The sequence below is a fragment of the Homo sapiens genome, chromosome 17 (genome assembly GCF_000001405.40).
Source record: "Homo sapiens chromosome 17, GRCh38.p14 Primary Assembly".
In the NCBI taxonomy this organism is placed as follows: domain Eukaryota; kingdom Metazoa; phylum Chordata; class Mammalia; order Primates; family Hominidae; genus Homo; species Homo sapiens.
Genome location: NC_000017.11, coordinates 46,909,555 through 46,935,980, shown reverse-complemented (window position 1 = coordinate 46,935,980; position 26,426 = coordinate 46,909,555). Strand labels below are relative to the sequence as shown.

At 44.9% G+C, this 26,426-nt stretch overlaps 2 protein-coding genes, 3 long non-coding RNA genes and 1 pseudogene across 39 annotated transcripts in view, besides 2 other annotated features; 2 read left to right on the top strand and 4 right to left on the bottom strand.

Moving 5' to 3' along the window:
* GOSR2 (golgi SNAP receptor complex member 2) overlaps window positions 1–12,821 on the bottom strand; it is a 52,731-nt gene extending 39,910 nt beyond the window's left edge. For 14 of the 34 annotated variants that reach the window (NR_148349.2, XR_007065552.1, XR_007065553.1 and 11 more), the window contains exons 1-5: window positions 12,760–12,821; window positions 6,397–6,461; window positions 4,774–4,882; window positions 3,782–3,914; window positions 812–952 (exon numbers count right to left, since the gene is read on the bottom strand). Coding sequence is in view for 28 of the 34 variants with exons in the window: in XM_017025383.3 (XP_016880872.1) it covers window positions 812–952; window positions 3,782–3,914; window positions 4,774–4,882; window positions 6,397–6,461; window positions 12,760–12,788 (477 nt within the window). In the remaining 6 variants the exon portion in view is untranslated. Of the gene's footprint in view, window positions 953–3,781; window positions 3,915–4,773; window positions 4,883–6,396; window positions 6,462–12,348 lie in introns of all 34 variants that reach the window. The other 20 variants (NR_148350.2, NR_148351.2, XM_017025386.2 and 17 more) reach the window with 8 other exon arrangements.
* LRRC37A2 (leucine rich repeat containing 37 member A2) overlaps window positions 1–26,426 on the bottom strand; it is a 676,337-nt gene that overhangs the window by 113,148 nt on the left and 536,763 nt on the right. The window lies entirely within an intron of this gene.
* Window positions 3,804–5,003: an enhancer, noted in NCBI's record as "BRD4-independent group 4 enhancer chr17:45008344-45009543 (GRCh37/hg19 assembly coordinates)". NCBI's record gives its function as "activates an origin of replication core promoter dependent on BRD2, P300/CBP, MED14 and CDK7 cofactors, and independent of BRD4, by STARR-seq in HCT116 cells {active_cell/tissue: HCT116}" and the evidence as "EXISTENCE:reporter gene assay evidence [ECO:0000049][PMID:35650434]".
* Window positions 12,121–12,845: an enhancer, noted in NCBI's record as "NANOG-H3K27ac-H3K4me1 hESC enhancer chr17:45000502-45001226 (GRCh37/hg19 assembly coordinates)". NCBI's record gives its function as "activates a minimal SCP1, AML or CMV promoter by ChIP-STARR-seq in primed H9 embryonic stem cells {active_cell/tissue: H9 hESC(primed)}" and the evidence as "EXISTENCE:reporter gene assay evidence [ECO:0000049][PMID:30033119]".
* On the top strand, window positions 13,110–19,224 carry GOSR2-DT (GOSR2 divergent transcript). The gene is made up of 3 exons (NR_186460.1): window positions 13,110–13,170; window positions 18,708–18,816; window positions 19,150–19,224. It is a non-coding gene; the product is annotated as a GOSR2 divergent transcript (long non-coding RNA).
* RNU6ATAC3P (RNA, U6atac small nuclear 3, pseudogene) lies at window positions 14,733–14,857 on the bottom strand (annotated as a pseudogene).
* LOC112268191 (uncharacterized) lies at window positions 20,465–23,154 on the bottom strand. Its single transcript, XR_002958114.2, has 2 exons — window positions 23,026–23,154; window positions 20,465–20,869 (listed from the first exon to the last, which is right to left on the bottom strand). It is a non-coding gene; the product is annotated as an uncharacterized LOC112268191 (long non-coding RNA).
* Window positions 23,180–26,239, top strand: LINC01974 (long intergenic non-protein coding RNA 1974). Of its 2 annotated transcripts, none has more exons than NR_184096.1 (3): window positions 23,180–23,399; window positions 24,395–24,537; window positions 25,815–26,239. It is a non-coding gene; the product is annotated as a long intergenic non-protein coding RNA 1974 (long non-coding RNA). The 2 variants fall into 2 exon arrangements; NR_184095.1 differs by having other exon boundaries at window positions 23,180–24,062.

Below are 26,426 nucleotides of genomic sequence, written 5' to 3'. Positions count from 1 at the left end.
TAAGATAAAGCTCACACTTCCGAGTGACTGTTTCTCACAGCTCAGTGGCTGGGAGTGCTTCATTCACAGGGGACCACACCCTGATAACAGACAGAACCCACGCCCTATTATCCATCAGGGTTGATACAGGAAAAGGGCAGAGGCTGAAACATCATGACTGACATCAGAGTCTGTGTAATGTTTCTGTAAACCACTCCCAGGGGCTGGAGTCTCAGCAGTGCCAACTGGTCAGGGCTTCTAGGAATACCTAAGGCTAGGGAGTGAAGAGTCGCTGGGATCACCAGCACGGGCTTTAGAAGCTCTAGAAGCTTCTAAAGCTCTAATCTACTGCAAACAACCAGGCAGCCCTAACACTGCACAGTGGGGATTCAGTTACTAAAATACAAAAGGTTTTAGTTATAAGGCAGTCCACAGTAGGGGTCCTAAGGGAAAGCCACCTTAAAGCGAGGTACCAAAGGACAGCCACGTCTTCATTCTTCCAAGAGTAGATTCTGTAACACAATTTCTCAGCCTGTGATTGGACCCCTCGTAGTAGCACTCACTTTCATGATAAGTTCAGTAAATGGGAAAAGACCTGGATCCTAAGAGAGGCCACTTCATGGTTTGTTTCAAGCACTGGCAAAGGAACTGGGTACTTTCAGGCTCACAATAACTCAACTCCAACAGAAAGGATCCCAAACTCAAGGGCTCTGTCTTGTCATCAAAATATCACAATTTGAGGACACGTAATCAAAATATAAACACAGTTACTAAACTGTTGGATGAGGCTAAAACAAGAGGCCTTCTCTCTGTCCCCCAGCAGGGACCCCACCTTCAAGGTCAGTCTCTGGGTCCTCAGTCCATCTAAAATATTGTGCCCATCTAAAATGAGGTCATCCATGCCGTTGTGAACTTTCTGGAGGGAGGAGTTAAACTGCAGTGATTCGTCCATTGGTATGGTGGTGTCAGAGTCCTGTGAAAGAAACACAGGCACTTGATTAACTTTGCTTATCAGTCAGTTCCTGGGGTCTCACTGCTCTGTCTTTTGGCCAAGGCCAAGCCAGAACAGCCGGAGGGGCTGGTGAAAGAATCAGCGGACCCTAATGGATAAGAAAAAGCAAAGCAAAGGCCTGGGGTGGCCTCTGTCCACACAGAAGAGGAACTTCCTCAGATCTGTCACTCTCCAAATGAGTTCCACTCCACAAGTATCGTTCATTCCAACGATACTTGTCTCTGTATCATGATCTCCTCTTAGGAAAAGCTATTCCTTCAAGACCTCATTGGGTGTCTCCTAAAGGCTTTCTCTGACTACTCACTAACCTAGCTGGTTCCAAATGTTCCTTTCCATGGCTTCCCCTTAATGCAGTGTTAAATGTTTGCTCGTGTCCTTTAGCTATTTTATCTATAGTTTACCTCTCCAAGTAGACTGAGAGTTAACTAAGGATAGAGGAGGCTGTGCTTCTGCATTTTCTTTTTTTTTGAGACAGGGTTTCCCTCTGTCACCCAGGGTGGAGTGCAGTGGCGCGATCTCAGCTCACTGCAACCTTAGCCTCCTGGACTCAAACAATTCTCCCACCTCAGCCTTCTGAGTAGCTGGGACCATAGGTGCATGCTACCATGCCCAGCTTTTTTCTTTCTTTCTTTCTCTTTTTTGTATTTTTGGTAGAGACAGGGTTTCACCATGTTGCTCAGGCTGGTCTCCAACTCCTGTGCTCAAGGAATCTGTCCACAGGCCTCCCCATTTTATAGATGAAAAAATGCCCAGAGAGGTAGAATAACTTGTCCAAGATCACACAGCTGGAAGTGTGTCCAGTGATCACAGAGCTGGAAGTCCAGTGGAGCTGGGAATGTGGGTACTGAGCGCAGGGCCTGCCCTGTTACCCACACTGTAGAGGGAAACACCAACGCCCATCCTGGTGGCTCTACTTTTGCTCTGAAAGTGGACTATAGGCAGGAGCCAAGTCCTCGCCAGCTGTGAGAGCGTTCCCTTCTCTTTTCTGCCAATCACAAGCTCTCCTGCCAAGTAGTGCTGGGGTTTGTTTCGTGTTTTTTTTTTTTTTGAGACAGGCTCTCACTCTGTCACCCAGGATAGAGAGCAGCCTTGACCTACCAGGCTTAAGTGATCTTCTCACCTCAGGCTCCAGAGAGTAGTTGGGACCACAGGCTCACGCCACCACGCCCGGCTAATTTTTATATTTTTTTGTAGAGACAATGTCTCACCATGTCACCCAGGATGGTGAACTCCTGAACAATCCACTGCCTTGGTCTCCCAAAGTGCTGGGATCACAGGCGTGTGTCATTGTGCCCTGCTCCACTAGTGCTGTTTTTACCACCTAAATTCCAGTTTCAATTGTCCAAAAAAAAAAAAAAGGTTATGCCACTGTTTCTTTGCTGCTCAGATTTGGAATCATTTTGCACATACGTGTTTTCAACTGCCCCTGCTAACAGGGGAGCTCCTCACAGATAGGCGTCAGGTCTTTTAATTTCATCATGTGCTTTACTCCTAGTGCCTGAATTAACTAGTTTTCTGCATGCAGCTAATGCCCAGTGTGTCAGAAGATGCTGGCGTTTGAAAGACTCAGAGACTTCTCTTCAGTAATTTGACTAGCACTTATGAAATGCCATTCACATACAAATCTTTCTTACCCTCCCATCTAAAACAGTATGGCTGATGGGCCATTATCTCTCAGAAAAATGTATTATAGCTCCATATGGTAGAATGACCAGGAAGAAGTTTCATCTGGCAAGTCAATGTTTATTAAGAACTGACGGTGTGCACAGCATCACGCCAGGCTGGCAAAAAACAAAATAATCCCAAGCGATCATCCTTGGCCTAAAAAAGGCCTGAATACTACATTATAACGATCTAAAATCCAAACATCTTTTAGTGTGTCTTATAGTTCATTAAATTTTTGAACTGTTAAACACTGTAACTTGACTGCTTAGTCTGGGGAAGCAAAAACTATGTTGGCACAGCCTGAAACACTTGGGAAAATTTATTGCAAAGCAAGGATGCAGCATTGAGGGTTAAACATCTACAAAGCAGGAAATGATGTGAATTTTAACAACTGGCTTAGAAAGCTAACATCTCTTTAGAAAATAATCCTCTGTAAAAAAACAAAATACAAAAAGCCAAAGCACACTTCATTTAGTGGAATATATTATGCAGGACACAGAAAAGGCCAGTATGTTCTACAGCCATGTGCAGGAAATGATCTGGTTAAGACTAAAGGGCAGGGACAATGGGTTCTGAAAAATCAAACATGCAAACCAACACACTTTCAGACAGACTCAGGCAAGCAGTCCATCTAACCCTAAACATCTGTTAACAAATTCCTCCAAATTGCTGCTCAGACTAGGGGCAAAAACATCTTAATGCACCTGACACTGGAGCCACACACATACTCGGCACAATGGCAACTGCCCGCAGGCAGCTTTGAAATGCTGCCTTCTCTACAAATGGCCTAAGTTCTAATCATCTGTCTCTATCTGATCAGAAAAACGTTTCCACCATGTGAACTTCCACCTTTCTGTCTCAGACCAGCCCAACCAGGTAATTTTCACCTCTGCCTATTCCCCTTCAATTTAACTGCTTCCTCTTCAGGTTTTTGTCTTAGAAAAAGGGATTCTCTGTCTAGGTCTAGTCTCTGTGGCAATGCACAAAGTTCCTGTCATTTCCAGTTGGTTTCCTCATCATCAGTCTTCTTCAGACACCCCCAAAACAGATGGCGCTCAGAGATCTGAACTCCAGCCCCCACGATCTGTCAAGTGCAGGCCGACCCTCACCACGGGCCTGGCTTACGTTAGTGGTGAAGGTTCGAGACAGAAGCTCTTCTCGCTGTCTCTCCTGCTGCTCCCTTGCATGGCGCCGATGCTGGAAGTTTCTGAGCGCAGTCTGCAGGTGCTGGACATCATACTTTAACTGGTCAACCCGACTGGAATTGATGGAGAGAGAGATTAAATTCCAGGAACTCAGGGCAGCAGAATCTGAGGGGGCCAGGCTTTGTACTGAGGAAAGACGGCGTTTCCTTACTTCTCCCTACACCACCCCACACTATACCCCCTCACCACAAGATCTAATTTTGATCAACGATGTTGAAAGTCAAGAAGAAACTTGTGGTTAAAGTGAGATGGTAGCACACAAGATTCCAGCAGCTTGACTTCAGAATCTGTTGCTCTGATTCTGGATGCATGACAGAGAACAGGGGACAGGAAGCAGGCTCACTGACCTCTTCTTGACCTTCTATGGATTATATGGCTCTCCTGGAAGAAGCCCAAGGGCATCTTTGAGGTAAAGCATCCACAAAGTTTCATAAAACTTTTGGAAACAGGCGCTGGGGGTGGAGGTGGCAAGGGTGGTTTCATTTTAATTTCATGCTGGAGTATCAAACATTAGATCAGCATTTCATTATGGGTGGACTGATTGAAGTGATTTTTCATTTCAACCCAAGAAGAACCCAGCAGGAACCAAAGAGCAGAACAAAACTCCATGGCAACATTAGGCTTCAGGTGGCTATGGATCTAGTCAAAAAACAGAACTGGAGGCAAAATTTCAAAATGACACCAAAGAGGTAAGGGGTCACAAGGTTTCTGAGTCACAAACCTCACAGGCTATTTATTTTGAGCGGCATCACTCAGATAGAATTGTGCCCTTTGAGGGGGCTTTTTCTTTGCATAGTCATAGTTTTTCAACATGTACGTTGGTTTTCAGAATATTCTATCACCTCCCCCAGGGAGAAAAGCCTGTCTTGATGGGCCTGGAGTATCAGAGCCATGTCAGAGGTCAGCACTTACAGTCTGGCATTTTGCCTTTTGTTAGGGGGCTCCTTGCTGGACAAAATCTCCAGACGTTCTAGACGGCTGAATATCTGGTCTATGCTTGCTTGGATTTCGTTTTCTACTACTGTACAAAAAAGAAAAAAGAATAATTGCTGGAAAAGAGATAGTGAACTTAAATTACAATGATAAATCACAGATTTTTTTTTCAATATCCAATAAACTAGAACTACATATTTCAAAAGGAGAAAAATGTATACACTAATGAATAACAGAAAAAATTCAAGTTAGGCCGTAAATGTTGTTTTGAAAAAAGTACATGTATATAGCTGTTAATGACATAACAATGCCAATTTTTTAAAAAAGCTGAAGGTAAATCTGTAGAAATAAATTTCCTACCTTTAGAAAATAAACATGCAAAGGTTGTCCAAATAAATACTTTAAGCTAAATTTTCTGATATAGGTCTCTTTTCCTTTGGGATTCTCAGACGTGGATTATAAATACCTAGAAAAAGGCTGCCAATTGAATTCCCTATAGTAATGAGTTTTTTTTTTTTTATTTAAAAAAAAAAAAGCATAAAGGAAGGGGAAGATTAGTATGTGAAACATACAGAGAAGAGTTCCCTTAAGGCTTTCTTCCCTTAAAGCTTTCTGTAAGAATGGGTGGGCTGAGCAATGTTGACGTCCCCAAAATAAACCAAATATCAATAGGAAAGGCCCAGGAAAGAATCCACAGAGGTAAAGAGATACGATAAATACGGTCATTTTCCCTATCCCTTTCGATAAGACAGTCAAAATGACCTCTTTCCATTTCTAATCATGTAACAATGAGATTGCTGAGAAGGCAAACAAAGTCCGATGAACAAAGAAGCTAAACTGTGCACAAAAGAAAGCATCCAGACTGCTTCTTGCCCCATAAAGAAGTGACAGCAGTGACACTGCCCCTTCCTAGCCCTTTGTGCCCACAGTGAACAAAGACAGTTGAGATTAGAACAAGGTGGGGCACAGAACCAAGAACAGAGCTGCTTTTGAAGCTGCGAAAGGAGACATGAGAGAACAGGAGGAATGGGTCCTGAGGGAGCCCAGCAGTGGGGTGGGTAGGCAGCCCCCGCAGGTGGTGTCCATATGACCAACTCAGAAAAAGGACCTTTCCTCAGAATAGAAAAAAAAAAAAAAAATGAAAAAAAACAAAAAACCAGCATGCTTCTCAAAAGAAACCATGCTGTGGGAACTAAACTAATTAATATTGCTGTTCGTTTCTGAATAATCCTCCTAAAAAGCCACAGTTCTCAGCTCAGAAGAAATGGCCAATTCCAGTTAAACATCTCTGAATTTTTATGGAGTACATTCCTCTAAGGACTAGGTAATTAGATTAAGATAGATGGAGGCAAGCGCTTCCATTCCCATAGGGCCATGTCAGGTTGAGTGGAGGGGTAATGGGGGATAAGACTTGTGGGATTCCAAAGGGCACACTCAGGGAAATCAGTGACTTTGCCATAGGGTTTTTCTGTCCACCCTAACAACAAAACTCATTCCACGCTGAATCATTAAGCCCCCAAGGCAGAGTGCAGTCAGGAAGCCCAGCCCATTAGCACCCTGTCATCAGAGAAAGGACTCTGGTCTCCACAGTTAATTACTCACTGTGCACAGACTGCTTGTCTGCCGTCTCCAGGCGTCCCATGCAAGACTGGATCTCGTGGACCTGCCTATCAAAGGAAGAGGGAGGAAATGAGTGAGACAGGAGTAATCAACAGCGCTTCAGTCAGGAAAGACAATTTTTCTGATGCCAACATGTAACTGATTTAAATCGACAGCATCACTGAACTGTAAAATTTGTATGTGGCACTTTAGGTCCCACGTTTTGGCATGGTTTCTAATATCTTAACTACTAACAATAACACTGATAGGCAGATTATGGGTGCTTACCATATCCAAGATACTCTGCCAAATCAATAACCCTATGAGGAAAGTACCATTATCATCCTCATTTTATAAAAACTGAAGCCCAGAAAGGTTATGTAACTTGTTCAAGATCACACAGCAAGTGATAAACCTCAAACTGAACCCGGCCAATCCTACTTTCTGTTCTACGACCTAATGTGCTAAGCACTGGCCTGTACCAGGAAGAGTCAAAGGGCGAGGGAGATATAATCCTTGTCCTTGAGAAACAACATAATGAGGAATGACAGGCTAAACAGACATGAACAAGCCCTGGGAAGATTCACGAGAAAAGCAATACACATAAGTATAAACAAACAGAAAGAGGGGCAGCTCTGCACAGTGGTGTCACAGGCAAGCAGACAGAGGGGTGGGGCTGAGAAAGAGAAACCAGGTAAGTTATGTGGATGGAAAGAGTTCTGAGCATCGCTGTGAAGAAGGGAGACATCATTTGGTGAAGGAAGATAGAAGAAAATGATATGCAAAAATTCATTCAAGACATGTGGATTACAAGTAGGGTGGGCTGCTTGAAAGGGAATCGGGTTGGGGGAGAGGATGCTGAAGTGACTCACTGGAGGAAACCATTCAGAGGAAGACCCTGAGACAGGGACCTTCTGTTTGGTAAACATCCTTCTCCGACAATATCAAGGAACGAAGGAACTGCCATCTCATTTGGAAATGCAACACTGTACCCTGGATCTGGGTAACACTCTCTGGAGGCTTCCCACGGTCTGGCCAAGGTCATCCTTAAGACCCCCTTCCTAATGGTCCTCCATGATCAGTCCTCGGGATACTGCTTATGCTGGCCCCACCATCCACTTCCCGGTGCTCACGGTGGAGATTTCCCCAAGTTAGGGCCCACATGAAGGGGGCCTGCTGGACTCTCACATCATCCCCAACGCTGGAGGAAAGGTCAGCAACCATTCTGCATCGTGAGCAATGCAAACCAGGACCCCAAATCTACCAATGCCAGCCAGGCACCCAACTTTGGCTTCAGCTTGTGCCCAGTCTTTTCCAGGGCTTCCCTATGGCCTCCAGATATGCCCTCGGGCACCAAAAGAAGCTGGGTGAGCTGTCAAATGACTCCCCAGGGTGCTCCTAGGCAAGACCTGTGGCCCTGAGAAGCAACTAGAAATCACTGCTAGAGTCCGAGACCAGGCCGTTGCTTCCGGAAAGTAAGTCTGGGATATTGTGGGATGATGCGGGGGTGTGGAGGTATGGGGGCTGATGTAGGAATGCAGCCTGAGGTAGCCGACACCTGAAGCAGGGCAACCAAGGGAACAGGTACAGGGGACCGGAGGGTAACGGGGACAGAAAGGAGAATTAGGACTCTAAGGAAGTCCTGACGCAGGCTGTGAGGTAAATTTTCAATGCTGATTTAACAGAAAAATCTGAAAGTTGGTAATATGATCAACACGAACAGTGACATAATAAAAAGGGGGGAGGTAAAGAATAGCCAAGACCACTCTGAAGAAGGAGGGGGAGGAATGACTTGTCCCACCTGCCATTATGACTTACAAAGCAGTAACAATGGAAACAATATGGCGGCAGTGCAGGTGCAGACAGACAAGGAAAGGCAAACCCTACAGCTGGCCCAAGAGGAAAGAAACAGCCTAGACACAGCCCCACGTTATTTGGGAGCTTTTGAAAGAAGGGACTACAATAAATGCCAACAGCTCCGGTTTGTTACCCGTACAGAAAAAGGCCACCTCAGGTAACACATAAAAATAAACTCAAGCTCACTTAAAACCCAAATGGAAAAAGCAGAGCAGCTTTCAAACTTTCTGAAGAAAATACAGGTGTGCATAAATGACCTCGGGTTACAGAAGATTTCTTAAATAAGACAAAATCCAAAAACTACCCACCCCCACAAAACCCACAAACCACAAAGAAAAAGATGGATACATCTGACAACATGAAAACAAAAAACTTCTGTACACCAAAGCCACAAAATAAACAAATGAATGGCACAGACTGGAGGGTATCTGCAGCAGATAACAAAGGATTGACGTGCAGAAAATATATAAAGAATTGTTACAAATCAATACAAAAAGTCAAACAAGGCATTTTTTTTAAATGAAAAAAGGGCAAATGACAGAAAAGAAAACCCAAATGGTCAATCAATATACAAAATGACACTCAACTAGGAAAACACAAATGAAAAGCAATGAGATCACATTTCTTCAGCCCATCAAACTGACAAATATTTTAAAGTTTGGGGACATATGCATTAATAAGGAAACAGGGAAACTAGAACTCTCATACCCAGCTGGTAGGATTATAAATTGGTAAAACACTTTAAATGCTTTCTGACAATAACTAGTAGAATAAAGCATGTGTCCATGCTATGACCCAGCAGTTTGAGGAATGTGTCCTAGAGAGGTTCTGGCATACCCTGAGGAGATGTACATGGCAGGACGTTCATCAAAGCACTTTTGTACAGGCCCATAATCCACTGACTTTTCCCATCAAATCTCTATTTGCTTTGAACCAATCAGAGACAATGTGGCCAATAATACAATTCCAGCGGCTACATTTCATGCTAAGAAAACATAAATATGAAACAACAAAGCAAGTATGAATGGCAAGGTGGGAACTACTAATATGCCAAGTGCAAAATCTGTCTCAAACTGAACTGGGAATTCTAACACAACATAACACACTGGAAGTCCATAAGAAACAGGTGATACACAAGCATGACTTGGGAGCGTGGACATGAGGAAAAAGAAGTCTTAGCCCTCTCTAGCATGGGGTCCATGGTGGGCTTGGGTGATAATATAACAAAGCAGAGAAATAGTAGCAAATAAGCCAGGGTCATTGTAGCCGTCTTTAAAAAAGGTTTACAGAAGATCTAGGAAGAATTTTTTAATGGAAGTGCTTTTTAAAAGTTCATGAAACTACTCACCGCCCCCCACCACCCCATAACATCCACTTTGCATCCAGGCTGCCTCTGACCATGATGAACATGAAAACGCTGTGTAACCTACACAGCATCATGTAAGTTTGTTGTTAACTTTACTTAAAAGTAGTGGCAACAATCTGGTCATTTTCATTTCACTCACTTTGCCTTTACATTTCGCTCATTAAAGGGCAAAATCTATAAAGGAAAAACATGGTCTTGAGATAAGGTAATAGTTCTTAAGCTCCGCTGTTCAGGAAAAAAAATGGTCTTGAGATAAGGTAACAGTTCTTAAGCCTACCTGCTCATCAAAACCACCTAGGGAGCTTGTTAAATGTAGTGCTTCTTGTGTCCTGGACATACGATAAGGTCCAGGACAGGAGACTGATCTTGGACTACATAGGGGACAAATGTGGTCACCTTTACAACCATTGGGATCTCAAAAATAGAAGCCTGGCTATTAGCTCCTCTATAAAGTTCATCTAAATTAAACATTTAAGTGTAAAATGTTTATTGTTTTCATTCATTCATTATTTTCATTCATTCATTGTTCAGGTAGGTTCAGGAGTTTTCAAGTAACTTTAATATGTCAATCTAATTCCAATGTACTCAATGTATTCAGTGACACGGCAAGAGATAATCACAAACTGGGTTCAAAGTTCCAGTAAAATTAATAAGTTCAGCTACTGTTGTGTCAACTCAGCTACAATCACTAATTTCTGCAGTTGCGAAAGTTCATTGCTGGTGCTCACTGGACTCCACGTGTTTCTTGTGAAAGTCATTCAGTCATCAGTTCTGTTATCATGGAACTGAAAGGAGCCTTACAGTTTAACCAGCCCAAATTATAATATCATTCTACAGATGAGGAAAAATAAAGTAAGGAGGTCTAGAACCAGAACTCCCACTCCTGGTTCAGCACTGGAGAGGAAAGATAGACAAGATACTGCAGCATAAAAGAAGGTAAACTCCTCGAGGGCAGGGCTGTGCTGCCAGCACTGAGAATGGTGCACAGCACATAGTAGGTGCTCAATAAATATTCAATGAATTAATGAGTGTCGGGGTAGCAGAGGGCCTAATAGTTGTGGGGCAAAGCTGGCCCACTGCTTGTTTTGATAAATAAAATTGTACTGGAACACAGGTACATCAATTAGTTTACATATTGTCTATGGCTGTTTTCCCAATATAACAGCAGAGTAGTAACTACAGAGACCGTATAGCCCACAGAGCCTAAAATATTTACTATCTGGCCCTTAATAGAAAAAACTGGCAAGCTGCTAGAGTCCAAGGGTGCATTGTTGGAGGCCTACAGAGCATCTACACTCCACACACCTTGTTTGGGGTACCATTTAGAATTCCTCTTCTGAGCCATGCAGTTTTCTCTGTGATTAGCTGCACTGAAAACAGGTAGTCTAAGACTCTCTAAATAAAGTTATTCTTGAATATAAAATGGGTCATGGCCTTCTTGGCAACATCCTTTAACTAAATTAACTAGATAAGACCATACATAACAGATTAACTTCAAGGCACTACTATGCCCATTGTGCCCTGCTATTGTGAAAGATAGGCCCTTTCTTAGTAACATGAACATAATTTCGTTTCATTCTTTCTCTAAATTACTCACAGACTAGTTTTAAGTCCCTTCCTATAACGTTTATGTGAGAATAGGGCTCCCCAGTGTAAAAGAAAATTCTGTCATTACAAAGTAGGTTCTGTATTTTCGCCTGTCCAAATGAAACACCTCATCGCCAAAATAAAAGAAACCCATAAACTTAGAAAATGAAAGAGAAAGAGGATCATCACCCTCTTATTCCTCATGCTTCAGGGCATTTCATTTCCAGGCCTTGGGAGTGTGATTTTAAGTGTTTTAATCAACAAAACTACAGCATAAGTTTGAAAGTTCTCAATAGGATAGGTATATACCTCAAAAAATTGAGAAGAGAAACTAAAACAGATACTTCTACACCAGAGTTCATAGCAGTATTATTCTCAACAGCCCAATGGTGGAAACAACTCAAGTGTCCATCAACAGATGAATGGATAACAAAATGTGGTAGACACATAAAACGGAATATTATTCCGTCATAAAACAGAATGAAATTCTGGTAACAGGCTACAATATAGATGAACCCTGAAAACATTAAGTGAAATAAGCCAGATACAAAAGGACAAATTCTGTATGACTCCACTTATATTAAGTATCTAGAATAGGTAAACTCATAGAGAGAAGTAAAACAGAGGTTACTAGGTGTTCTGGAAGGAAGAAATGAAGTGCTACTGATTAACAGGCACACTGGGATGATGAAAAAGTTCTGGAAATGGATCGTAGTGATGTAAGTTGTGAATGTACTCAATGTCACTGAATTGTACACTTAAAAATTGTTAAAACAGTAAATCTTATGTTGTGTATATTTTACAATAAAAAATAAAAATCATAAAATTCCGTCCCTCCAAAACAGGGTAAAAATCATAATTCTGCCCCCCGCCCCCAAAAATAGGGTAAGTATGGCCCCATTAATACTCAACTACGTATCTCAGCAATTCCGAAAGTGCAGGACGATGCGAATAAAGGACACTACCAAGGAATTTAAGTTATGAGAAACTAAATTACAATTTGATTTTCTTAGCGATAACCTGTAACCAGATACGATTAACAAGTAATAATAGTGAATGCTACGTGGACAGCAATTTCTTTGTACCATAAAAATGTGGTCTTTAGTATAAATCGAATAAGAATACAAATACTTTCCCGTACGTGCCCTGACTCTCCAATTAAACAGTACACTCCTACGGCCAGGGGCCGTGTCTCCTACTCCGTGTCTCCTCTCGAGGTCTACCAACCAGGAGCACCGAGTTGACAAGTGCTGGACAAAGTTTTATAACCTGCAGGTGCCAGTTTCCCGTCACCCAGTCTACCCAGCAGGTAGTCACGAACTTGCAGACCCCAGGAGTCATCTGCCCCACGTCTCCAGGCCCCAGCCTGAACCCACTGTCTGTGGCTGACCTGGGAGTCCCGCCAAGGATTAAGCACTTCGGAGGCATCCCCAGCAGTGCCCTGGCGGAAAAACTCGGCCTCTACCCTGGCTGACGTCCGAGGCCTCAGCCCCAGAAGCCAGGCTCACCTGGCCTCGCCTCGTCTAGCCCCTGCCCGCTCCCCGACCGGCCCTCACTTGTGCGTTTGCTGGAACAGGGGATCCATGTCGCCGGCCCCGCAGGCCACGGCTCCGGCTCTGGCTTCCTCGGAACACGTCCTCACAGCCCCCCTTCCGGTTTCCGGCTTCCGGTCGCAGGACCCTCCCTCCCCTGCCGGCCAGGGCTGCCCGCACGCGCGCCTTACTAGCAGTGGTTGCGAGATCGGAGAAGGGGAAGGAGAAATGAGGCCGGCGACGGAAGGATAAGTGTAGTCACAGGCTCGGCTTCACGTGAAGGGCAAGGCGGTGTACATGTTCGCTGAAGGCTAGCCTCAGGATTCAGTCAGGCGTTAGGAAGGACAATCGCGGGATACTAACGAGAGGTCCTCAGAGCAAAGTTGAAGGCGAGCCGCTATCATCTGCTGTTCTCTGCCGCAGAGAGGACTGGAGGTTCTTGCTTGGCTTCACTTTAAACCATTTAATCGGGGGTCTGGAGATTTCGCTCTTCACTGTTTTTCCTGGCGCAAGCTTTTCCTGTTTCGCATTTGTCTACTCACTCTCCCGCCTATCTACCCCCCATTCCTATTTATCCATCCAGTAAACCTACATTGAATGAGTGGTTATTATGTGTCATGTGTAAAGTAGGGAAAACCGGGTTCCTCCTGCCCTCAAAGAGGTTCTGGTCTGGGAAAGGAAATAAGATATGTATACTCTCAAAAGACAAAATTACAAGAAATGTAGTTATAGATTTTTTTTCTTTATTTTATTATTTTTTATTATTATACTTTAAGTTCTAGGGTACATGTGCACAACGTGCAGGGTTGTTACATATGTATACATGTGCCATGTTGGTGTGCTGCACCCATTAACTCGTCATTTACATTAGGTATATCTCCTAATGCTATCCCTTCCCCCTCTCCCCACCCCACAACAGGCCCCGAAGTGTGATGTCCCCCTTCCTGTGTCCAAGTGTTCTCATCGTTCAGTTCCCACCTATGAGTGAGAACATGTAATGTTTGTTTTTTTGTCCTTGCGATAGTTTGCTGAGAATGTTGGTTTCCAGCTTCATCCGTGTCCCTACAAAGGACATGAACTCATCATTTTTTATGGCTGCATAGTATTCCATGGTGTATATATGCCACATTTTCTTAATCCAGTCTGTCATTGTTGGACATTTGGGTTGGTTCCAGGTCTTTGCTATTGTGAATAGTGCTGCAATAAACATACATGTAAATGTGTCTTTATAGCAGCATGATTTATAATCCTTTGGGTATATACCCAGTAATGGGATGGCTGGGTCAAATGGTATTTCTAGTTCTAGATCCCTGAGAAATCTCCACACTGTCTTCCACAATGGTTGAACCAGTTAACAGTCCCACCAACAGTGTAAAAGTGTTCTTATTTCTCCACATCCTCTCCAGCAGCTGTTGTTTCCTGACTTTTTAATGGTCGCCATTCTAACTGGTGTGAGATGGTATCTCATTGTGGTTTTGATTTGCATTTCTCTGATGGCCAGTGATGATGAGCATTTTTTCATGTGTCTGTTGGCTGCATAAATGTCTTCTTTTGAGAAGTGTCTGTTCATATCCTTCGCCCACTTGTTGATGGGGTTGTTTGTTTTTTTCTTGTAAATTTGTTTGAGTTCATTGTAGATTCTGGATATTAGCTCTTTGTCAGATGAGTAGATTGCAAAAATTTTCTCCCATTCTGTAGGTTGCCTGTTCACTCTGATGGTAGTTTCTTTTGCTGTGCAGAAGCTCTTTAGTTTAATTAGATCCCATTTGTCAATTTTGGCTTTCGTTGTCATTGCTTTTGGTGTTTTAGACATGAAGTCCTTGCCCATGCCTATGTCCTGAATGGTATTGCCTAGGTTTTCTTCTAGGGTTTTTATGGTTTTAGGTCTAACATGTAAGTCTTTAATCCATCTTGAATTGATTTTTGTATAAGGTGTAAGGAAGGGATCCAGTTTCAGCTTTCTACATATGGCTAGCTAGTTTTCCCAGCACCATTTCAAAAACGATGGTTAGATCCCACGAAGTAGGTGGTAATGCCTTAACCGTATGCGTGTTGTCAGGCCCAAGGGCCTCTTCCATCCTTGTCAAAGGGAGTGCTAACCTTCTCTCCTTTAATACAACACAGTTACAGATCTTAACTGGCTATTTGCGATTCTAGCACCAGGCAACACCTTATTCTATAAAATAGAATGAGTATTCTGATGAGCTGAGCAGAGGAGATTATCTTTATAGACAGAAAAGGGCTGAAAAAAAAAAGCAGAAACAAAGAACAAGTTTCAAAGTTATTTTACTTGTATTGGTTAAGGCAGAAGGGACTTCCTTTATCATGGGGATATGGCTATTTTCCCTCTCTTCTGATTTCTCCTAAGGTCAGATGAGCAGCTTAATTTTGGCTTTGTGGCTTGGAACTTTAGCATGAGTGACTCTATTTTGGTTTGGCCTGTTGCGCCTAGTGCAGGAGCTCAGTCCAAACCAATGGCTTTCTATGAATTTTATTTATCAAGACAAACATTCTAGAAGGTAGAAAATCCAAAGAGATTGAGCTGAGCTGGGGGTCGTCTCTAGGAGGAGATTTAGGAGAGACTTAATGAAGGGGTGGCATTTGAGCTGGGACTGGGTTTGGACACTTCTCTGTCTCCACATAGGCTATCCCGTTTCCATCCTCCAAGCTTATCTACTATTCCTCCCAAGGCAGGAGACATTCTTTTCTTGGACAAGTTGATACTTCTCTTTTCCTGGATCCTGGATCCCACCCAGTTTTGTGTCCCAAGAGACTGTCCACCCATGTACATTCTTTTCCTAAAATTATTTTTTTCACTTTTTCTATAATTGAGCATCTACAATGTACCATGCACAGATACTGGAGATAGGAACACAAGCAAGACACAGCCCTAAAACCTCCCATATCTCTCATGGTCTGTTGGGAGAACTAATCATACCCTCAAGCTACATTATTAAGTAGAATACATGCTACAATTGATACAAAGTACCATTTCCGTGGGAAGGGCAAGAACGGTTCATGGACAAAATAGCATATGAATAAGACCTTCAAGAATCAATAGAATTTTAACAGTGTCTTGTATATACTAACCACTCTGAAAATGTTTATTGTGTCTGCCTGGTAGAGATGAAGAGGAGGGCATTTGAGGCTGAGGGAATAGCTTGAGCAAAGGCAAACAGAAGGAAAGAACATGAATCTCCTCTGGCTGGATTCAGGGTGTTTGGGGCAATAATAGTAGTCGAAGAAAGGTTAGAACGAGATCATAGGAATTTTTTTTTCTTTCTTTCTTTCTTTTTTTTGAGATGGAGTCTCGCTCTGTTGCTCAGGCTGGAATGCAATGGTGCAATCTTGGTTCACTGCAACCTCCGCCTCCTGGGTTCAAGCAATTCTCCTGCCTCAGCCTCCCGAGTAGCTAGGATTACAGGCACCCACCACCACGCCCAGCTAATTTTTGTATTTTTAGTAGAGACAGGGTTTCACCATGTTGGTCAGGCTGGTCTCGAACTCCCGACCTCAGATGATCCACCCGCTTTGGCCTCCAAAGTGCTGGGGTTACAGGCGTGAGCCACTGCGCCTGGCCAGGAAATCTTAAATGTCAGATTGGGTTTTTCTTTATAGATTTTTATTCTGCGGGTAGTTGGAAGCTATCAGAAAAATCTATCAGAGGATAGTAATGTAAAAAATTTCTCAAATAATTTTCATGCCTATGTCTTGTTTTCCTTTGGGTCTCATGGCATCCCTGGGAGGTGGATAAGGCAGATAAGGAAATTGAAGTCCAGAAGATCTCCCTTCTGCCTCTCAGTCTCTTAAGTCTTTATACGTATTTAGGCCTTCCTCTAAATAGAAGAAAATGCCACTCTCCAGCTTACTGCATTTTTAACTTATATCCCATTTTTTCTTTTTCTTGTATGGCTAAACCACTTGGATAATTGATATATACTGCTGATATTCTCTTGGCATGACTTACCCTCCAGCCTCTCCTTCATTTTACTAGAACGTTTTCTAGGCTCACCAGAGTCCACTTGACTTAGTCCATTGGTCTCCTTCCATAAATCATCCTACATTATAGATTCATTGAGCTGATAACTGTGTGTCAAGCACAATGCAAGGGCTGATATACAAAGATGAGTAAGACACCACCTTACCATAGAAGCTCTTTAATATACTGGGAGGTAAACATCTATACAGATAATTAGAATCCTATGTGGTGAGTGTGGGGTACAGTAATTGGGAACTGTGGGATGACAAGGAGGGAACACTTAGCCCAGTTTGGTGACTCAAGAGAGATTCAAAGAGGAGATGATACCTAAACTGAATCTTGGAAGATAAGGCCAGTGGGGAAAACATCCCAGGAAGAGGAAACAGCGTACACAAAAGCAAAGATATATGATGTGCAGGGGAAACTACAAGCAGTTTGAAGTTACTAGAACATAATGCACAAAAAGACAAAGGACAAGGCCAGAAAGGTAGCTTGTGGCCAAGTCAGTCTAAGGAGCTTGGACTTCATTCTGTAGGAGGGAGGGAGCTGCAGTCCAATGACCCTTGTGGTTCAGGGGGAGCTATTTCATTAGTACTTCATTGGTGAGTAGTGCTCTGGGAAATTGTATGTGTGTGTGTGTGTGTGTGTGTGTGTGTGTGTGTGTGTGTGTCTGCCTGCTATATCTCTATCAGGTTGGTGCAAAAATAATTGTGGTTTTGCAATTACTTTTAATGGCAAACCATAATTACTTTTGCACCAACCTAATACCTACATACCTACCTATTTATCTATCACGTTGACAGGACTGTATCTAGGTTTTGTGGAGCCCCAAGCAAATGTTTTTGTGGGCCCAGTCTGTATATGCAATTTGATTAAAAACTGTGTTATAGGCCGGGGGCGGCGGTTCACGCCTGTAATCCCAGCACTTAGTGAGGCCAAGGTGGGCGGATCACGAGGTCAAGAGATCAAGACCTTCCTGGCCAACATGGTGAAACCTCTTCTCTACTAAAAATACAAAAACTAGCTGGGCATGGTGGCACGTGCCTGTAGTCCCAGCTACTCGGGAGGCTGAGGCAGGAGAATTGCTTGAACCCGGGAGGCGGAGGTTGCGGTGAGCTGAGATCGCGCCGCTGCACTCTAGCCTGGGCGACAGAGCGAGATTCCGTATCAAAAAACAAACAAACAAACAAAACTGTGTTATAAAATTCATGGACTCGTGAAGAATAGTGATTTAACAACAAAGATTTAGAATAATTAGTAGAGAAAAGTACTTAGATATTTGTTTATTGTCTAATAAGTGCATGTGAATATTCTTTACAGTGTTCAGGCACCATCGCTTTCTGTCTGGGTCCAGGAACTATCTCTTTATGTTATTGTCAAATGTGCTATTTCTCACTAGTTTCTGGCTACATGAGAAAAGGGGAACAACATTGTTATTCAAATACCATGACTCTTCAGAACCTGTTTGTATTGGCCTATGTAGCTTTCTTTGCCCCTCCAGTTCCTAATGCTATTTATTTAAAGCTGGTACTGCAGAGAGTCCCCACTAGGGCAACGCCAAGCGGAAATGTGGGATTGGAGCCACCACATAGTCTGCAGTAGGGCAGTGCCTAGTGAAGCAGCGGGAATGGAGCCATCTCCAAGACCACAAAACTGTAGTCCTACCAGTATGCAACTCCAGCCTGGGAACTGTAGGCAGGAGACTCAATCCATCAGAGCTGCTGCATGGACCGAGCCTAGAAAGGCTGTAGAGGTGGGACTGCCCAAAGCTTTGGGGAACCAGCCTCCCAGCATGTCCAGGAGTGGGACATGAATCAGAGATTATTCTCTAGCTTTAAGACTTAATGTTGTTTTCCCTGTTGGGTTTTGGACTTACTTGGGACCAGTTACCCTTCTTTTCTTGCCTAGTTCTCACTTTTGGAATGGGAATGTCTATCCTATGCCTGTACCACCATTGTAGTTTGGAAAAAGATAACTTGTTTTGATTTCACAGGCTCACAGCTGGAGGAATTTGCCTTGGGATGAATCATGCCTTGAGTCTCACCTATATCTGATTTAGATGAGACTTTGGACTTCAGGCTTTTGAGTTGATGCTGGATTGAGTTAAGACTTTTGGGACTATTGGGATGGAATGAATACATTTTGCAAGTGAGAAGGACATAAATTTGGCTGGGGGGCAGGGGGAGAATTTTATGCTTTGAATGTGTCCCCCCCAAATTCATATGTTGGAAACTTGGCTGCCATTGTGGCAGTACTGAAAGGTGGGGCCTTTGGGAGGCAATTGGGTCACAAGGACAGAGCCTTCATGAATGGATTGATGTTGTTACTACAGGAGTGGACTCCTGATAAAAGGATAAGTTTGGCTGCCATTGTCTGTCTGTTTCATGTACTAACTTCTGCCTTTCACTTTTCCATCATGGGATGAACTTCACCAGATGACGGTGCCATGCTCTTGGACTTACCAACCTCCAGAACTGTGAGCTGAATAAACGTCTTTTCTTTAAACATTACCCAGTGTGTGGTATTCTATTATGGCAGCAGAAAATAGACTAAGACAGCTGGTTGTGTTGATAATGCCATTTATTTAATGCTGGTTACATCATTACTCATGATGCTGCACAATTCTTCACTCTACGTACAAATACTGGCTTCATAACTCAAAGTTTGTTCCTGTGCTTCTTTAGTGATGACACCAATGGCAAGTTTTGCTTAGAGTATGCAGAAAAATGTGAATAAAATTTCGCCGATCAGAGTTTTATATGTATGTTTACAACAATATATCATCCAACCACATCTTCTCTTGAGTTCTTTAGGCCTTAATCACTGAATTCCTAGAAGGTGATTTCTTTCAGTGTTGACTGCACCCCTGCCTTCCACACACTGAAATCAGTTGTCAGGGGAGGGAGTGGATAGGCTCAGGGCCCATGGGTGGAGCAAGAAGAGAAGTTCCATTCATGTAAGGAACATCTGGCCCTCACCTGGAACAGCTTAAAACCAACCCAGTATCTCATGAGATCACTATATTGATCAGAGGCAAGAGAGGACATTGATTGTAAAAGCTGGTTGGCCTTACAGCATAATGGTCTTGAATGGAGAAGATAGGCGTGGCCACTTCTGGAGGATTGCCTGACATGTGTTGCAAAGCCTTGGAGAGGGGTGAACACCTTGTACCAGCTGGAGGTGGGGTACCCCAGCAGTCAGGTTAAAGGATGCATCCACTCTCATTATTGTGTCATGTCAGAGGTGGCACTGTGGTCATAAATGTGGTGAGAGCCAGGGCATTGACCCACACAGGTGGCTCAACCTCAAGGGTTGGTGGTGAACTGTTAGTAGCCCAGAGTTCTGAACTCATATATCCAATGTGAATCACCCCAAATTAGCCAATCAGTACCATTCTAGTGGCCCAGTATTGTTCAATGCCATAAAATAAATACTGTGCTGGTCAGCAGAAGCAATCTACTTGTCAGGTTGCCCTGGACAACCCCATAGGCATGAGCCCTGAACCGCCTCAGGGCATTTGGCCAACCACACAGATCAAGAGGTGGGTCACAGAGTACTCTGAAGAGAAACCAACTGGGATGATCCCAGCCACTGAAGAGAACTTAGAATATTTCAAGAAGAGCACTCAAAAGTGTGGGGTCCCCTGAGAATCTGGCCTGGGGCCTGAGCTAGGGACCCTGCTTGCCTAGGTCTTAGGGCAAATTGTGTAATAAAATAGAGATGATCTCATATTCTTTGCTACTGCTACCATTGAGAGGTGGAGTCTAGTTTTATTCCCTCTAAACCTGCGCTGGTCTTAATGACTTCCTGGACCAACAGAATATGAAAGAAGTGAAATTCTGGGATTTTCAAGGCCAGGTTATAAGAAGCCCTGCAGCTTCCACTCAGCTTCTTGCAGCACTTACTCTGGGAGCCCCAGCCATCATGGAAGAAGCCCAGCAACCTGAGGCCACCATGCTGGAAAGGCCACGTGTAGGGGCTCCCGTTACCATTCCCAGCTGAGTCCAGTCTTCCAGCCATTCCCACCAAGGCATCATACATGTGGGCAAAGCCATATCGTACCCTCTGTGTCTATCTGTCAGCTGAATCCTACTGTGTGACCTCTGTAGACTCCATCTGAAATAGAATTGCCCAGCTGAGCCTCTGGTTGAATTCCTGTCCCACAAAATCAAGAGATATAGTAAAATGGATGAATTTTAAGCCACTGACTTTTGGGCTAGTTTGTTATGCAGCAATAGATAACCAACCTCAAAGAGTTTCTCATGTAGTTGGGATGAGAGGGTACAGGGCTTATGAAAATATAACAGTGCAAGACAGTGTACGAGTGTGTAATGAGTAGTAAGGACAATTAAGTTCTATCAGAATGCAGGAAAGAAAGATCCCTTTGAATTATTATGACAAAGGAAGACTTTCTAGAGTAGATGTGATTTCAGCTGGACCTTGAACTACAAGGATGTATGGAAAGGCAGGCACAGGGCATTCCTGGCAGGCAGTGAGATAAAGTTGGAATGGGTATAGGTAGACCCAGGAGGCAATCTGTGTGGTTTCTCTTGGCTAAGGCAAAGAGTTTCTTTTCTTTCCTTTTTCTTTTCCTTTTTTTTTTTTTTTTTTTTTTTGAGGTGGAGTCTCGCTCTGCCCCACAGGCTGGAGTACAGTGGCATGATCTAAGCTCACTGCAACCTCCGCCTTCCGGGTTCAAGAGATTTTCCTGCCTCAGCCTCCCGAGTAGCTGGGACTACAGGCATGCACCACTACGCCTGGCTAATTTTTTTGTATTTTTAGTAGAGACAGGGTTGCACCATGTTGGTCAGGCTGGTCTCGAACTCCTGACCTCAGGTGATCCACTTGCCTCGGCCTCCCAAAGTGCCGGGATTACAGGCGTGAGCCACTGCGCCCAGCCGAAATAGGATAATTCTATTATCCCTTCTCTTAAACTATTAGTGGCCCCCCTACTCTCCTGGCCTGGTCACTCCCCTTCCCAGCGCACTTTCGGATTATTTTTCCTCCTGGCCGCCCCGCTATTGTGTCCCACCTGTGCCAATGCTCACATGCCACCTTGCACCGTTGGGGCCAGCTGTGACTATGTCCCACTTCCCTTACTAAAATATGAGAGTGCATCGAGATGCCCACATCATTCTTCAGCCACCCCCTGCACTTTCAATCATCCTTTTCAAAGTTCCCCAAAAGATCTTTCTAAAACACAGAGTAGGCTGGGTGCGGTGGCTCACACCTGTAATCCCAGCACTTTGGGAGGCCGAGGCAAGCGGATCACCCAAAGTCAGGAGTTTGCGACCAGTCTAGCCAACATGGTGAAACCCATCTCTACTAAAAATACAAAAATTAGCCGGGCATGGTGGCACATGTCTGTAGTCCCAACTACTCGGGAGGCTGAGGCAGGAGAATCACTTGAACCCAAGAGGCAGAGGCTGCAGTGAGCCGAGATCGTGCCACTGCACTCCAGCATGGGCGACAGAGTGAGACTCTGTCAAAATAAATAAAAATAAAAAAGTAAAAAATGAAACACAGTTGGTGCCTTGCCATGCTAAGCCTTTTGATGGCACCCTGGTGTCTAGAGAACACAGTAATATCCTCATCGTGGCAGACAGAGCCCTCGGTACTGGCCTCATCCTGGTCATTTCCGCCATCCTAACTAGAATAATTGCAGCTCTCCTCACAAGGTCTTTGTGTCTTCTGGCCTTTGTATGCACTGTTCCCTGTGCTTCAAACACCCTTCCCTCTGTCTCAGGCCTAAGCTATTACTGTTCATTCTTCAAGTCCCATTCTGAATTCACCTTCCTTGGGGCATGGCCCCAACCTCTAGGCTGGGCTAGAACCCCTTCCCCATGCTTCCTTAGCACTGGTGCTCCCTCTCAGCACTCGTCACAGGGGTCCCAGTTGTCCATTCACTAGCCCGAGGGTGGAAGATGTGTCTTACATCCCTGCATTTCCTGGTATCCAGCTCAGTGCCCGGTGTGAGGTAGGTGCTTGTGAAACTTCTGTTGCCTGGAAATGGACTCCGTTTCATTAACTTATTCGCCTAAGTATCCTACCTGCTTGGCATTTCAGAAATCTAGAATTATTTGGAAGTCGGCTTTTAGGCGATTAAAAACTGCCCTTAGCGGTGGAGCCATTCTTGCTGGAAGAGCCGTCACCTGGAATCAGTGCAAAGTGCCAAATACAGTGCCTCCCCTTTAGGCACTGGGACAGCCGTGGCTCGTTCTGTGCTCCCATCCGCCTCATGGGAGGCAGGACAGGCATCACCATGCCAGTTTTCTAGACAAGGACACTAAACTTCAGAGAAATTAACTCACCTGCCTAAGCTGGCCAAGCTTGTTGGTGGCAGAAGGGAACTAGGACCAGGCTGCTGTCATAAACCACCCTCCAGGTAGCTGCTGGATCATCTGGCCTTTGTGACCCAAAGAGGGCCGAGTCACACAGATAAACAGGACACCTCTGATGGCTTCCACTCTGGACAGCAACAATGACCCCAGTCACTCCCACCCCAAAGCCAGGGAAACATCATCTTGTCACCTCTGGATTTCTCCTCACCCCCTTGGGTTAAAGCTGAGCAGACAGGGTGGCACTTCTGAATTCAGAGGCTGCAATGAGCTGAGAAAAACAAGCATCTGTGGCCCCCTCCAGGACCCACCAAGTAGAGGGGATGTTGCCCCGGGTGCTGCAGGAGGTGGGAAGGGGACTCCAAGGAAGTTGTCCTCCCTAGAGAGTCCATCAGCAAATTGTCTCATGTAGCCATAACAGCCAGGAGCAAGGCAGGGAAGGAGGGTTTTGTCTAAGGAAAACCAGTGTATTGTAAACAGGATAAAAGGGGCTGGAAAGCCCCACTTATCACTGACTAATATGTCCCCAGGTCATCGGGGAGCTGGACCCCTACCAGCAGCCCTGAGGAGGGAAAGAATTCCCGATTAACCCCATCACCTGTGAGCTGGGCCAGGGCAAAGGTCTGGCTTTTTCTCTTGCTAAATGATTCCCATGGTCATTAGGCATTCGCAGGGCTCAGCAGCATTTCTAGGAAGCCCTCCCAGACTAGAGAAATGCCTTCTGCACCCGCTGCTCTTTGGGGCCATACGGAGCAGGGAGTAGGTGTGCACATCCTTGGGACAGCAGGAGAGGAGGTGTGAGGAAGGCAGAGGTGGCATGAGGCTAGGGGAAGCTGCAGGGGGAGGATGGTGGTCTTCTGGTCAATCGTGGGTGTGGAACAGACTTGTGTGTCACATCAAGCGATGGGGGTTGGCCTAGTGTAGACTTGAGGGGCTGGCTGAGAGATTGGTCACTCTGGGCTCTCACTAATAATGATCTCATTCATTCCTTACGAGCTCCTCATATCCAGGTATCTTAATTTATATTTATTTATTTTATTTATTTTGAGACGGAGTCTCATTCTGTCACCCAGGCTAGAGTGCAGTGGCGTGATCTCGGCTTACTGCAACCTCTGCCTACCAGTTCAAGCGATTCTCCTGCCTCAGCCTCCTGAGTAGCTGGGACTACAGGCGTGTGCCACCATGCCCGGCTAATTTTTATATTTTTAAGTTGAGACGGGGTTTTACCATGTTGGCCAGACTGGTCTTGAACCCCTGACCTCAGGTGATCCACCCACCTTGGCCTCCCAAAGTGCTGAGATTACAGGCGTGAGCCACAGTGCCCAGCTATCTTAATTTGCAGATGAGAAACAACACTGAGACTCAGCCGGGTTACGTAAAACATCCAAAGCTATGCAGCAGGCTGATGGCCAGCTGAGACCTAAATTTAGGCCTCACTGACTCCTACCTTGGGCATGTAAGCACCAGTTGGATCAGATACACCAGGTCAGTATTGAAGTGTGAAGAGTTCTGAGGGATGCTTGGATCATCTGAGTTCTACTCTCCTCTCAATGTACTTCACCCCTCTGGGGAGCCTTCTTTGGTTATCTCTGTCTCCTTTTGGGACCCCATTTTCCTGGACCATTAAGATGTGGGATAGTAGAAAGAGTTCAGTATTTTTAGACACAAAGCCTGAGTCTGATTCTCCAAGCTGGTCCCTTTGGACACATCAATTAATTCCTCTGAAACTCATTTTCTTTATCTTTAATAAGGAAGCAATACTACCCATTCTATGTACTTCACTGAGTTGAAAGAGAATTAAATGAGAAGGGGCATGAAAGGGCTTTCCATTTTGAGTGTTATTGTCACAGTGATTGTCACAGGTGCTCCTGGCCATTTCCCTCTGCACCCACCTTCCTCTCCAAGCATCCTGCCTTCACATTCACCTGCCTTGGCACCGCCATATGCATGTCATGCTCCTGCTCAGGAACCATCAGTGGCTCCCTGCTCCTGCTTCCTTAGCTTGGAATCGTGCCTTCCCCAGACCAACCCACCTCTACCTCCCAAAGTTGGAGCCTCTGCTTCCCTGCACTGCATGAGCTGACCGTGGGCTCAAGTCATGGATCCTATGCTGGGTGCTCTAATACACTGTGTGTTTTCACACCTGTGTGCCTTTGCTGGCTCCCTGAAGTGATTTGTCCCCGCTTCCAAGCTGGCTCAGATCCCAGCTCCTCCTCCAGCAGCCTTCCCGACCACTCAGCCTGTGGCAGCCTTTCCACTCCCTTGCCTTGATTGTTCTTGGCATTCACCTTGCTGGAGTATTGACTTTCCACACATAATCAGTCTCCAGGTTGGATCATATGCTTCTTGAGGACAAAGAGGTGCATATGTCTTTCCATGAATCTGCTCAACTACTCCAAGCTAGACAGGTGATGGCTAAGAGGACATCTTCAGGAATTACTCCATTTCCATGTGGGGTGAGGATGCCTTACCCCACCGTGAGAGTCACTAGAGCAGCGGCACTCGGAGGATCTGGCACACTGGAGGGCTGAGTAAATATCAGTGAATTGACTCCAGCTGTGTCAGGCCAGTGTGGAAGCGGAGGTTGTTTTTGGCAGGTGGCAAAGAGTGCCAACCCAGGAGAGCGCCACAGGACTTGCCCTGAGCATGCAGGAGATCCTGTATCATCCCGACCCATGCCACTCAATGAGTCCTTGGGGTTTCAAGGGGAGAGTGGGAGATGGGGGTATTGAGTAATTGCCTTCCTGCTCATTTGCCCACAGGGAAACTGAGGCCCAGAAAGGGATGTGATCTGCCCGATTGTGCAGAATTCAGAGCCCAGCTGGAACCTGAATGTCCTGACCCCCCATCCAGTGCCCCCCTTCCTACTCTATGCTGCCTCTCGGGTGACACACACAGCAGCAAGTGAGCCCTGCAGACAGAGACATTCTAGAACCCAGGCCTGGGACCAGTGCTCAGGAGCCATACTCTCAGCTAGATTGCCTTCAGCCTGCCAGGAGGAGGAGCAGCCCAGTCCAGACTGAAAGCCTCCAAGGAGGAAGTTCTACCGGCTTCTCCATGCCTCCAAACCCACTGTACCTTGTGCATTCCATCTGGAATTTTCTTCTGTTGAAAGGAAGGTGCTGGGTGGGAGGAGGAGGGAGAGGATCAGGAAAAATAACTAATAAATACTAGGCTTAATATCTGACACAAGTTTACGTATATAACAAACCTGCACATGTACCCCTGAACTTAAAAGAAAAGTTAAACAAAAAATAAAGGTGCTGTTGCCATGGCCCAAGCCACAGCGTCTAGAGCTGTGCCATCCAATACGCTAGCTGTTAGCCACATGCAGCTCCTGAGTACTTGAAACGTGGCTAGAGCAAATCGAGATG